The sequence below is a fragment of the Homo sapiens genome, chromosome 4 (genome assembly GCF_000001405.40).
Source record: "Homo sapiens chromosome 4, GRCh38.p14 Primary Assembly".
Taxonomy (NCBI): Eukaryota; Metazoa; Chordata; class Mammalia; order Primates; family Hominidae; genus Homo; species Homo sapiens.
In genome coordinates, this window is record NC_000004.12 from 57,849,450 (window position 1) to 57,863,949 (window position 14,500).

General features: G+C 33.9%; 1 long non-coding RNA gene across 1 annotated transcript; it reads left to right on the plus strand.

The window, feature by feature from the left end:
* Window positions 1–407: 407 nt before the first annotated feature.
* LOC105377670 (uncharacterized) lies at window positions 408–5,220 on the plus strand. The gene is made up of 3 exons (XR_941084.2): window positions 408–658; window positions 869–964; window positions 4,907–5,220. It is a non-coding gene; the product is annotated as an uncharacterized LOC105377670 (long non-coding RNA).
* The last annotated feature ends 9,280 nt before the right edge of the window (window positions 5,221–14,500 follow it).

Genomic DNA, 14,500 nt, shown 5'->3' on the forward strand with positions numbered 1-14,500 from the left:
AGAATCAAATGTGTGCTAATTTTCAGTTTAAGAATATTTTTTTCCTACCCAACCCTATTGTTTCAGATAGCCTCAATTACCTTGTTATTACTTTGAGAAAGAGAGAGATGGGGTGAGAAAGCAATGAAATAGTCAAACCTCAAGGCACAATCTAGAAAACAGCTTTGTATGGAGTTACTAGGGGAAGAAACTAGCTAGAAACAAATAAAAAAGAGCTACAAGCATAAAGGGACAAAATTTGCTCAGCTCCCAAGGAAGCCAGACATTTTTCCTACATAATTAGATAATAATGGGTATCAAATAAAGACATACTTCCAAGAGGGCCAAACCAGGGTTTTCAGAGAACAATTCTTGCCAGAAATAAGATTTTGGATATAATTAAGACTATTTTTTCATCTCAGGGTATGCGGCCTTTGCAGTGACTCCCCATCAAGATTTCATACTTTCTACGAGCCATTGACTGCCTCGTGCCATTCATTCTTCTTTTTTCCTAACAAGAGATTGTATTGGGTGTCTTCTTTTCCTGCTCCACCACTGAGTGTTTTAGGAAGATAATACGGATTTTGGTTTCTTCCTTATGAATCATGGGGCGATGCATCTGAACCTGATGATGAGAATTGTGCATCACCTGCAGTTTCTGGACCTTGAGCTGACTGCGGTGAGTGGATGGGACTTTGTAGAGATAGTGACTGAGTTCTGTGTGTGAATAAGTGTAAAATTTATTTAAAATATTTATTTGATTTTGTGTAAGAATAAGAGGCAGTATTCTCCTTTAAATGAGAATAAGAGAGTGGGAGCAAGTTTTGTGTTTATCAAAATGTGTTCCTGTTGACACACAGCTAAACTATGTTCTTATCTTTCTTTGAAGTTATGTGTGGCCATATAGCTAAATTCTGACTCAGGGAATGTGACACAAGTGATGCAAGCTATTTCCCAGCTTGATCATATAATAACATTACCTAAGGTAAGTGCTGTGGTTTGGATATAGTTTGTTTGTCCCCACCAAGTTCTGTGTTGAGATGTGAACTCCAATATGTTGGAGTTGAGAGGTGGGACCTAGTAGGAGGTGTCTGGATCATGGGGATGGATCTCTCATGTATGGCTTGGTGCCATTTTGGTGGTAGTAAGTGAGTCCTGGCTCTCATAAGAATGGATTAGTTTTCAGGAAGTGAATTAATTCCTGAGAATATGGGTGTCATAAGGCCAGGACACCCTTGTGTTCAGTCCCTCTTCACATATGCCTATTTCCACTTTCACCTTCTCCACTATGTTGGATGCAACACAAAAACCTTCACTAGAGGCCAAGCAGATGTGGCAACCTGCTTCTTGTACAGCCTGAAAACTGTGAGCCAAATAACCCTTTTTTCTTTATAAAGTGTCTAGCCTCTGTTTTTTTTTTATACCATCACAAAACAAACTAAGACAGTAAGTAATTTATAAAAGGATGTAAATACTCCTCAAGGCACACAGTAATCCTCTTGGCTTCCAAATCTGTAACAAAAGGTCCTAGCATACCTAAAGGGGACTAGTATAATGTGTGGTCTGGGGAAAGATAATTCTCAAACCTTAATAATTGCAACGTTTTGTTCATTTATGTCAACAGAATCCCACAGACTAAATGTGGGGGTTGAACTGTAAAAGTATTTGACCAAAGACAAAAGGGCAAACACTGGACAAGGATGAACTTACTTAAATGGGCTGACACTTTGTAGATTTTGATTCAAGGTTTTAGGTGAAGGAAATAGAAATGGGTTATATTGCTTTTTTGATTGGTTGGCTGAAACCAGGATGAATGGTTTGGAACCAAAAGTTCTTTGTTTTTCTTAAAAAAGGAATCCAATAATTTAATGATATAGAAATATTGAACTGAATTTATCATATGCAACTTAATCTCTCACTCCCATTATACACCTATATCCCACAGAAAATCACAGGATACTTACTTTACAGTAGCATTGGGAAATATATTTGTGAGGGAGCACCAGCATCCTTAAAAATCTTTGTAGCACCTGTTGTGGCAAGCTGGGGATAAACAGTGGTGTTTTATTCCACCATAAAAATGGGCTACCAAGGGCTTGATGGGAATGGCAGTACTCAATCATGTAAAAAATGAGTGTGGTACCAAATGGATAGCAAGGTTAGAGACACAGAGTGGCTTGGCTCATTCTGTCAAAATGGTCTGACAGAATGGTGTGACTAATTAATCGTAATGTTCCTCTAGCACTGAAATAAGTGGGAACCTACAAACTACTTGATTCATATAATTGAAAAAAAAAATAGGTTGGGTGAACAATGACCTGACTTGAAACCATGTAATCCATAAGGCTGCTGATATTGAGTGCACTCTGAAACAAGAAATGTTTCTTCAGCTGAGCATTACTAGACTCATTGGTATCTAAGATGTCTTTGGAAGAAGATACAGATGCTCTATAAACTTCTGGCAAATCAAAGTGGGAGAACACTATGCACTTTGCTGGTGTAATTAAGGTTATTAATCAGTTGACCTTAAAATATGTGATTATCCCAGTGGAGATAATTTAATCAATTGAGCCATTTAAAAACAAAGTTTTCTGCAGTTAGTACAGAGGAAATAGTCAAGATATCTGATGCATGGAAATGATTGGATGCACTATTGCTGACTTGAGGATGATGAAAGTCATATGGCAAAGAAACAGGAATCTTAGTCCTACAAACATAAGAAACTTTATTCTGCCAAAACCCCGAATGCTCTTGGAAGCAGCTTCTTACCCAGGGCTTCAAGAAAGAAACAGTTCTCCTCTTGACTTGATTTAAGCCTTGTGTGACCCTGAGCGGAGAACCCATTCATGACATGCCAGACCACTGACCTATAGAATTGTGAGTTAATGAATGGGTGTTGTTTTAAGCCACTACATTTATGGTAATTTGTACATAGCAATAGAAATCTATTGCACTATCTGATCCACTAGGCTGAGCCATAATGTTAGGCATATACAGTGGTACTCCATTAACAAGTGAAGCTGTGTTCTGTAGCCATATGTAAGCGTGAACAAGTCACTAACTTTCAAGGCACCTGCTACTGTTGCATTGCAATCTCTCTCTTTCAAGTCCATCTATAGTTTCACAGAGAGTTATGTCTGATAAACTGACTAAGAAAAAAGTACATTAGGACCTCAATTACATATGGTTTCATATTTTATATTGGCACCAACCTGAAATACTAGTATTGCAGTTTCACTCAGGGATGGCTACAAAAGCCTGGAGGATGGGAAAGATAAAAATACTCCTAATGGCCTTAATACATGTATGTTCAGTTTGTTTTGAAGGAACAATGGCCATAGATATGGATTTGTATCCATTTGTAGGCCAGGGCTAATTTGGCTGAATGGCTGGGGATCTGGAAAAACAAGTTTTGTGAATTTTTGACAAAACAAGTACAAAGGAAAGATACACGGATGGAACTTTGAGTATAAAGATATACTGTTATACATCAATCCTCACCAGAGGATATTCACTCATTAAAGGCTCATAGTGTTTAGGTAAAACATGATGACCCATTCTGTGAATGTCAGGCAGCCTCTTTCCTCAGTCCCTCTTGTACTTGTTCAATGGATTCCTTGATAAACCCTCCATAATGACAGAAGAAGGGGCCAGATACAGGTTAATAAAATGCACAACCACTCACCAAGACTACTACAGCTATTGCCACTGATAAATGCCCAACTTGCCAATAGTAGAAACCCATGCTGAGCTCCTGTAATGACACCATTTGCTGGGGAGACCATCCAGTCTCCAGATGGCAAGTGAATTACATTTGACCTCTTCCATTTTGAAGGGCGAAAAGATTTATCCTCTTTTTTTTTCTTTAGTCTCTTTTTTTTTATTATTATTATACTTTAAGTTTTAGGGTACATGTGCACAATGTGCAGGTTTGTTACATATGTATACATGTGCCATGCTGGTGTGCTGCACCCATTAACTCATCATTTAGCATTAGGTATATCTCCTAATGCTATCCCTCCCCCCTCCCCCCACCCCACAACAGTCCCCAGAGTGTGATGTTCCCCTTCCTGTGTCCATGTGTTCTCATTGTTCAATTCCCGTCTATGAGTGAGAACATGCGGTGTTTGGTTTTTTGTCCTTGCGATAGTTTACTGAGAATGATGATTTCCAATTTCATCCATGTCCCTACAAAGAACATGAACTCATCTTTTTTATGGCTGCATAGTATTCCATGGTGTATATGTGCCACATTTTCTTAATCCAGTCTATCATTGTTGGACATTTGGGTTGGTTCCAAGTCTTTGCTATTGTGAATAGTGCCTCAATAAACATACGTTTTTTTAATACATAAAAAAATAAACATACGTTTTTTTATAGCAGCATGATTTATAGTCCTTTGGGTATATACCCAGTAATGGGATGGCTGGGTCAAATGGTATTTCTAGTTCTAGACCCCTGAGGAATCGCCACACTGACTTCCACAATGGTTGAACTAGTTTACAGTCCCACCATCCTCTTTGAAAAGACACATAGTCTAAATATGAATTAGCCTTTGTTGTCCGTTATGCTTCTGCTAGCACCACCATGTGTAGACTTGCTGAATGCTATGTTTACTGCTATGTCTGACCAAGTAATGTTTTTATAGGCAAAGTAGTGATAAATGAGCTCAACCCAGAGGACTTACTTGTTTTACTATGTAACAAATCAGCCATTGTAATGGAAAAGTGATTTAATGGAAGAATGGGATAACTTATTAAAGACAACCTAACAGTCTTAGTAGAGTGATAACACATTGCGGTGCTGGGATGTAATCCAAAGATGCACCATCGGCCCTGAACCAGTGACTGATGTGGTGTGAGAGCGGAGGCATCTCCTGCCACTAATAGCCCACTCACAAATATTTTGCTTTCTGTCCCCACTTTAGGCTCTTCTTTAAATATGAAGAAGAATGTTTCCAACAGAAGATATAACCATTATCTCACTGAATGAGCAGTTGTGACTATAATGTATATACTTCTATCTTCTCACACCACCAAACTGACAGTCAAACAAGAGAGTTAAAGCACTGCCTGAAATCAGTACTTGAATGAAAAGATAAAGTGTGGACCAGGGAAGAGGACTGCTAGATAGACTTTGGGATGTTCACACTTACATAAAGGAGCTTTTTGTTATTTATCTGGAATTCAAACTCAACTGGGTTGCCTATGTTTTTGTTTTCTGAATCTGGAAACTCTTATTGAGGATAAGGACAATGCACTCTTGGAAATCAGAAGATTCCCAGGCACTATTGCTCTTTCTTTCCCTCTCTAGCTATTTTTAGTCCACGTCCTTTTCACCATACAAAATATTGTTATAGTCATAACATATGTGCTTGCTTTGGTTGTACCTCTACAATCAATCCTGTATACTAGAATAGGAAAGTGAAACTAAAAGAGCTAACATACCATGTCATTCCTCTGCTCAAAAATCATCAGAGACTCTTTGCTACAGAGATAAAGTTCAAACCCCTAAGCATGGAATTCAAAGGCTTTCACGCTTCATGCTTTTCTCTCACAACATCCTTAAGTGAACTCCTTAATGCAGCCAGAAGTGTTTTCTTCACTGATGCATGTTTCCTCTCATAAACCTATCTCAATCTGAGGCTTAAAGTTTCCGTTTTCTGTTAAAGTTTCTCTATCATTCTGTAGATCTGCAATCATATCTCTGTATACATTTTCCAAAATTGACAGTAATCTCTTTCCTTAGAATCACACTGAATTTCAGAAATACTTCAAATTACACGTGTCTTGAGAATTAACATGTACTGTGTGGTAGGGTTGATGCCAAACCCTTTATGTATCTATTTATATCTATCTCTATATTTTTATCTCAGTTAATTATCAACTATATTCAAGAAGATGTATAAGAAATTCCATTTCTATCTTCATTTTACAGATAAAAACCCAGAGGAAGGAAGAATGTAAGTAACTTGCCCAAAGTCACATGTGTGTAAATGACAGAGGTACAATTTAAAATCATCCAGTCTGACTCCAGAGGTTGCACTTCTACTCACTCTATTATACTGTCTTTACATGAAATACATTTTCCTGATTTAAAAAATGGGAACAAGAAGATTAAATTATTTTTTGATTTGCTGATTTGCAAAGTCTGGTTATTCACCCAGAGATAATTATTATAACCAGGTTGGTGTTCATGTTTCCACACCTTTTCCTATATATTTCTATGTTCATGAATATGTCCCTGTAGAAAGCACATATCATTGTTTATCTTTTAACACACATATATACATATACTATATATATACAGTATATGTATACTGTATATATATAGTATATAGAGTATATATAGTAGTATATAGAGTGTATATAGTATATAGAAATATATAGTATATAGTCTATATAGTATATAATATATAGCCTATATATAGTATATAGTCTATATAGTATACAGTATATAGTCTATATATAGTATATAGTCTATACATAGTATGTAGTATATAGTCTATATATAGTATATAGTCTATATATAGTATATAGTCTATATATAGTATATAGTATGTAGTCTATATATGTAGTATATAGTATATATAGTATAGAGTCATATACATATGATTACATACTATACATACACACTATGTATAGTATATATACTATACATACACACTATGTATAGTATATATACTATACATACACACTATGTATAGTATATATACTATACATACACACTATGTATAGTATATATACTATACATACACACTATGTATAGTATATATACTATACATACACACTATGTATAGTATATATACTATACATACACACTATGTATAGTATATATACTATATATACATGTATAGTATATATACTATGTATAGTATATATACTGTATATATATACTATGTATAGTATATATACTGTATATATATACTATGTATAGTATATATACTATGTATATACTCTATATACTATGTATAGTGTATATACTCTATATACTATGTATAGTGTATATACTCTATATACTATGTATAGTGTATATACTCTATATACTATGTATAGTGTATATACTCTATATACTATGTATAGTGTATATACTCTATATACTATGTATAGTGTATATACTCTATATACTATGTATAGTGTATATACTCTATATACTATGTGTAGTGTATGTACTCTATATACTATGTGTAGTGTATGTACTCTATATACTATGTGTAGTGTATGTACTCTATATACTATGTGTAGTGTATGTACTCTATATACTATGTGTAGTATATGTACTCTATATACTATGTGTAGTATATGTACTCTATATACTATGTGTAGTATATGTACTCTATATACTATGTGTAGTATATGTACTCTATATACTATGTGTAGTATATGTACTCTATATACTATATGTGTAGTATATGTACTCTATATACTATATGTGTAGTATATGTACTCTATATACTATATGTGTAGTATATGTACTCTATATACTATATGTGTAGTATATGTACTCTATATACTATATGTGTAGTATATGTACTCTATATACTATATGTGTAGTATATGTACTCTATATACTATATGTGTAGTATATGTACTCTATATACTATATGTGTAGTATATGTACTCTATATACTATATGTGTAGTATATGTACTCTATATACTATATGTGTAGTATATGTACTCTATATACTATATGTGTAGTATATGTACTCTATATACTATATGTGTAGTATATGTACTCTATATACTATATGTGTAGTATATGTACTCTATATACTATATGTGTAGTATATGTACTCTATATACTATATGTGTAGTGTATGTACTCTATATACTATATGTGTAGTGTATGTACTCTATATACTATATGTGTAGTGTATATACTCTATATACTATATGTGTAGTGTATATACTCTATATACTATATGTGTAGTGTATATACTCTCTCTATATACTATGTATATGTATATGACTACTATGTATACTATACATAGTATACATACACATATATACGCACATATTATATGTATACATATAAACAATATAATTCTACTAAATATCTTTTTACATCCTTTGGACTATGTCTGTCATGGAAGGTAGACACAAAACAAATACATTTTTAATTCTAAAGTGCTTATATTTAGTCACACTCTCAATGGCAGCATATGATACTGTTTCATTTCATTCTTAATTAATATGATTAAACTCTTTTTTAAATGTATAAATAAAAATTTGTAACTCATTGCTTGTAATTTCTCAAACCCAGGTTGAATTGAATTTGTTACCCTATGTTATTGGCCATATTAATATTTCATCTGTGAATTGCGTGAATTGCCCATTCACATTTCTTGCCTATTTCCATTAGCTCATTTTGCTCTTATTGATTTTAGGACTTTTATCTATCTCAGCATACTAACATTGTCTTTTATATATGCTGTAAATATTTTCCCCGGGCTCCTGCCTGAATTTTAACTTTGTTTGCCATGGCTTCTTTTGGTCATTTATAGTGTCTTTTGTTTTATGTTTTTTTAATATTTAAATTTTGACATACCCCATCCCTTGCAACCCATTCTACACCTAGCACTTTGAGTGATCTTTTAAAAATATAAATCGGACATGTCACTTGCCTTCTTGAAACACTTGAGTGTCTTCCTATTGCCAACATCTTACTGTGACTCTCATTCCCCTACAGTGTCTCTCAATAGATGTAAAAAAGTTTGACCAAATGCAAATTCCAAGCAGGATAAAAATATGCAGTAAATCAGAATTAGAAAATAATTAATCTGTGATACATTTTATTTTTAAGGTTGACCTGAAACCTTTGATTTATATTCCCCCCCAACATACTGGTGATCCTACCAAGATAAATTATTTTCAAAATGTATCTTTGTGTAATTAAACAAGTTAAATCCTATGTGAAATTATAGAATATGCCATCATCAAATTTCTTATAGTATCTACCACAAATAATTATTTTAAATTTTTTACTGATAATTGATGCACATCAATTCCTTCTGATAACACCTGGGTAGAATAGCAAATTATTCAATAAAGTCATGCCTACTTCATAATTTTAAAACTCTGCTTTGCATTTGATGGTGCATGTATGCAGATTTTCCAGTTGAGCCAAAATGACTTTAAAAATATATACACACACACATACGTGTGTATATGTGTATATATGCATATATGTGTATATATACATATGTGTGTACATACATATATGTGTATATATGTGTGTGTACATACATATATGTGTATATATATGTGTGTGTACATACATATATGTGTATATATGTGTGTGTATATATTTAAGTCATGTTGGCTCAACTGAATAATCTGCATACATGCATCATTAAATAGAAAGCAGAGTTTCTACATGTATATATATGTGTGTACCTACATACACACACATACACACACACACATACTTAAAGCAAAAGGAAGAGAGGTCAAAACAGCTGTGTTTACACTCTGAAATTATTTAACATATAGAGTTACTCTTATTTTCATAGGAGTATTAAGACACAATTCTATGTAGACATCAGTTGTCAAGGACCTTTCCCAAGCTATTGAAATTTAGCCCAAACTGATTCTTGTCCAGAGTCAGAACCTGAGTAAAGGCCAAAATAAGACTCAAAAATCATGAGTCTCTCCACTGTTAATATGGAGTGTGAATATGGTCAAGTGTGAACATTGGCTTAAATTTATCTTTCTGTCATATATAATATTACATATGAAGATATTATTTTAATAGTTTTATAGAATATAAGACCACTGTTAAAAATAAGTATTTGCTTTAGGAGAACAGAGAAAGATTCCCTAGACACTCTTGACACATTTGTCTGTGAAGATCCTTGTCTTGAAAGCACTGTGGAGTTTTATAAATCCAAATAAATGAGAATAAAAAGAAAAAGAAGCAGAAAAGTCTTCTGAATAAGAGGGCAGCGATTATATCATAATTGCAATAAGTTTGTTTGTTTCTATATAAAGGTATTGATTGAGCATCTACTATGGACCATGGTCTATACCTGGTCCTTTATATTTATTGTCTGAAATCTTCATTACAAAGTGGTGAGGTAAAAATTGTTATTCTTATCTAGCTGGTAAGAACATTGTGCTTTTGAGAATTTAATCTTGCCAAAAATTCACATGGTTGTCAGACTCGTGATTTAAGGACACTGAATGCCGAGTCCCATATTTTCTCCTCTCAACGACATCTTCTCTATATGACTTCTACTAGAATAATAGTATCTACTTTTCACTGACTACTTGCTTTACACTATTCTGATTTTTAAAATGCTGATCTCGGTAATTCTTAATAATTTGATCACCTTCTTCCACAATGCCAAACAGATGGCCTCAGTTCAAAACTCTTTGAAAGCTCTGATTCCTAGAGTAGTCATCTCTAAACATTTTGTTTGCACGTCTCATTCTTAAGCAGCTTTTAAGCATACACCTGACAGACTACATTTGTTTACTTATAAATTAGACACACACACAGAAATATATATAACCCACACTAAAAAGTAATAAAAATTAAAAGATGATATAAAATCAATTTAAATAGAAATTCTAATATATTCTTGTACTCCAATGGAATATATGAAGCATTTGGTACACTTACCACAAATAGGAGACCAATATCTGACATTATGAAATCCAACTCCTCCAATGGAAGACCATCTCTACTCTTTAGTTGTACTGAATACTTATGTGTGTTGCTCACACATCTCCCTCTGCCTGGAATGACCTACCCAGTATGTCAAAATCAATTCATCTTTTAAATGAAGCCCAGGCATCAGGTTCCTGGTGGCCAGGCTGCCCAGGGAGAACTGACCAGCTCTGGTTTTGTGACCTATGTATACATTAGTTATAGTACTTGTATTACTTTATTTCATTTGTCCTTGTTTATGTGTCTGACTCTTCTACTTCACTGACAGTTTCTGATGCATTAATTGAAACCTAGTCTTATTTGTGTATCTAGTATCTAGTGGAGCCCTTGGGAAATAGTAAGCAATCACTTGGGAATGAACGAATAAAAGTCATCTATCCTGTTTTTCTCCTATAATTTTCTGTAATTCTATATGTTCGCCAACTAGAAAAAGAAGTAGAAAAGCAACTTAGTATTATATATTCCTCAATTGGCTTGAAATAAATACACCTGCTAAGTACAGAACATAAGTAGAATCACTGAATCAAAGAATTTCAGACTTAGAAGGGACTGGGAACAATTCAGAGCAGAGGTCAACAAGTCAAAGAGAAAAAAAGGAGATAGAACTAAGGCAAGAGACACTGCAGCACTAAACAACAGAAACAATGGAAAAATACTTTGAGATATATAGGGTATGTGTCAGTGTGTGTATAGTGTGTGTGGAAGTGTGTGAAATGTGAAAATGGCTTTCTGAAACCAAAAGCCAGAAGCTTTATCGTGACATCTGTGGAAACCAAACAACTCTTCCCTACTACCTGATACTATTGGGTAGTATACTATCAGGTCTTGTGCAGTATTTACATATCCTATTTTCTATATTTTCCCCCTGTAAAGTAGAAACAGGAAAAAATGCCTTCAGTTTATCTCCCTCTAACCATCGTTCATTAAACTTTCCCCACTGTTATTTTTAACACTGCTTTATCAATGTGATGCTCCATCTCACAGTAGCTTCTTAAAATTTTTGTGGATGTGCAAATAAAAGTTGAATGTTTATAATAGCATCTTCTAAAAGGCTGTTGTAAGGAAACATTCAGTTATATATTTTTATAATTGGTTGTGAAACAAATTTCTAAACAACTAACTTGTGAGGTTATATGCCCTTACAGAAAAATAACTGAATGAAAACTTATACAGGTTATAAATCTGGAAAACTGCTTAGAAATATCTTTTCTTGTGTGATTAAAAAACAAAACTTGTCCAGTATATCTCATCCCTGTAAAGATGAGAAAAGTAATTGTACTTCCCCTGTACGTACAAATGGACGTATTTAGCTTTAAAATATTCTAATTAAAGTACTTGATAAATAGCAAAATATATGAACTTCCTACTTGCAATGTGGTATTAAAAGAGGATTTACTTATTTAATAAAACTGATCCATTTATTATTATCCTAAACTCTCTCTATTCCATTAAGTGATTTATGAAGAGTTTTTAGAATTTTAATTGATTCCTAGTTTGAATCAATATTTTTTAATAGTATATACTAAATACAGGCTTCTTGATGCCATGTAAAAATAAATAAAGAAACAAACAATTAAGGATCCAAAGCAACTTCATTGCAAATTCTCCACATTAGCTGATTTGAACGGAAGCCTGTAAAAGTTGGAATGGGAGGCAACGTTATTTTTTTCTCTAAGGCTCTTTGTGCCACAAAGGCAGTGCTATGCTATTAGGTGAAGCAGAATCCCAATGAAATCTTTCTTTATCTCTGCCTGCGATACAATCCCCATAGCAGTCTAAGGCACACAAGTTTATATAACTTTTGGAATTTGGTTTTAGATGTTAATTGAAACTCCAGTGAATGTCACATACACAAAAATATAAACTGAACCCTTGAGTACTATATAGTAAAATAAGAAACACAAAGATGAATTATGTACAATGCACCATTTGCATTCAAAGGGAAGGAAAGTGGCACAGAGGGAAGATTTTAAGGATGATATTGATAAATAGGGTCAATTGTTTCTCATTAGTCTGCAGTACGTAAAGGGAATATTTTATTCCTCTTGGTGCAGCTTTCACATAAAGGGCACAAATGTAGAACAGGTGAAAGATTGACAACCTGAAAGTCAAAACTTCTTGGTCTAAAAAAATAAACTCTAATTACTCTGCAGTCTTACAGTGTGCATCAAGAACGCGCCAAAGATGCTTCCTCTGGAGATGGATTATAGCAGCCTCTCAGCAAAGGAAGCATGATGTACCAAAGAAACATCCATATTTTCTTATAGTATGTTTCCCAAGAAAATGCCTAAATCATCATGTGAATTCATCTTGCATTTAAGGATCAAAGTAATAATAGTAACTAATACACACCTGGCACTACTCTAGATACATTACCTTACTTAATTCCTACCCTCACTCATCAGAAAGCTATCCCCTGTTTTCATCCCTATTATACTGTTAAGAAAGCAAAGACTCAGAGGTCTTACAAATTATCCAAGAGTACAGTATCAGCAATTAGAAGAGCCAGGCTAGACCCATAAATGCAAAATTTCTTAAAAAGAGAAACCAAAATCAGATTTAAATAACTTCTTAAGTTAACAGATAAGAAAATATTAAACATTTAAGCCAATCTTAGTCCTGTGTCTTCAAAAAATAAAGGAAATCATTTTCTATTCTGCATCACTTCATGCAAACATGCTCACCCTATCTCCCCACATACCCTTCTTATAATTCCTTTAAGAGTCAATACTTTAACAGCAAAGTGTTTCTAAAAGACTTGATTGTACTTTCTATTATCTGATACACTTATCTAAAAGTCAAAGCCTAATGCTATTGTATTTGAAAATATGCATGGTCAATTTTAAGTGATACTAAATTTTTTGGAGACACTCCCCATTATAACGATGCATAACCTAAGACAGTTTATCTTATATGCTACAGTCTGTAAATACAGTTAGCAGTTAATTCATCAAGTACAGATGCACATGTACCGTTATGGTTTGGCTGTGTCCCACCCAAGTCTCGTCTTTAATTGTAACTCCCACAATTCCCACATGTCGCGAGAGAAACCCTGTGGGAAGTGACTGAAGGTCTTTTCTGTGCCGTTCTTGTAATAGTGAATGAGTCTCATGAGATCTGATGTGTTTAAAAACGGGAGTTTCCCTACACGAACTATCTCTCTTTTTGCCTGCTGTCATCCATGTAAGACGTGACTTGATCCTCCTTGCCTTCCACCATGATTGTGATGCCTCCCCAGCCACATGGAACTGTAAGTCCAATAAACCTCTTTCTTTTGTACATTGCCCAGTCTTGTGTATGTCTTTATCAGCAGCATGAAAATGGACTAATACACATACATACCTTTTTTTTCCATCTTATATTATCAATGAATTCTAAACTCTTAGCAGTTAATATAACATTTTAAATGTTTTGTCTACTATAGAAATCACCCAAGTGCATATGTAAAAAACATTTAATTTTCTTTTTCTCTCAAGTCTTTTTTTTTTTTTTTTGGCTCCAAGTCTCTAGGAAGCTGATTTAAGTGGGGCTTAGAGGGAAAAAAATGACACAAACTCACTTCAAAGCTATCAACAGACACCAGAGAAAAAAGTAACTTTTCTTTTCATATGACAAAGTATAGTTGTACCCAGAAGTCATTAGATTTAAGAGAGTTTGCAAAGACTTCACCACTCAAAGTTTCATCATATGACGTCTCATGCTTTCCTAAAGAAAAAACATTGCTAGTCATTCTTTACCCACAAATGTGAACACCATAAAAACCGTCCAGAAAGCTAAAATATTTGGAGGCTTTCTTCTTGTTCTGTCTCCACGTCTGCATATGCCATTAAAAAAATACTCTCTAAATGA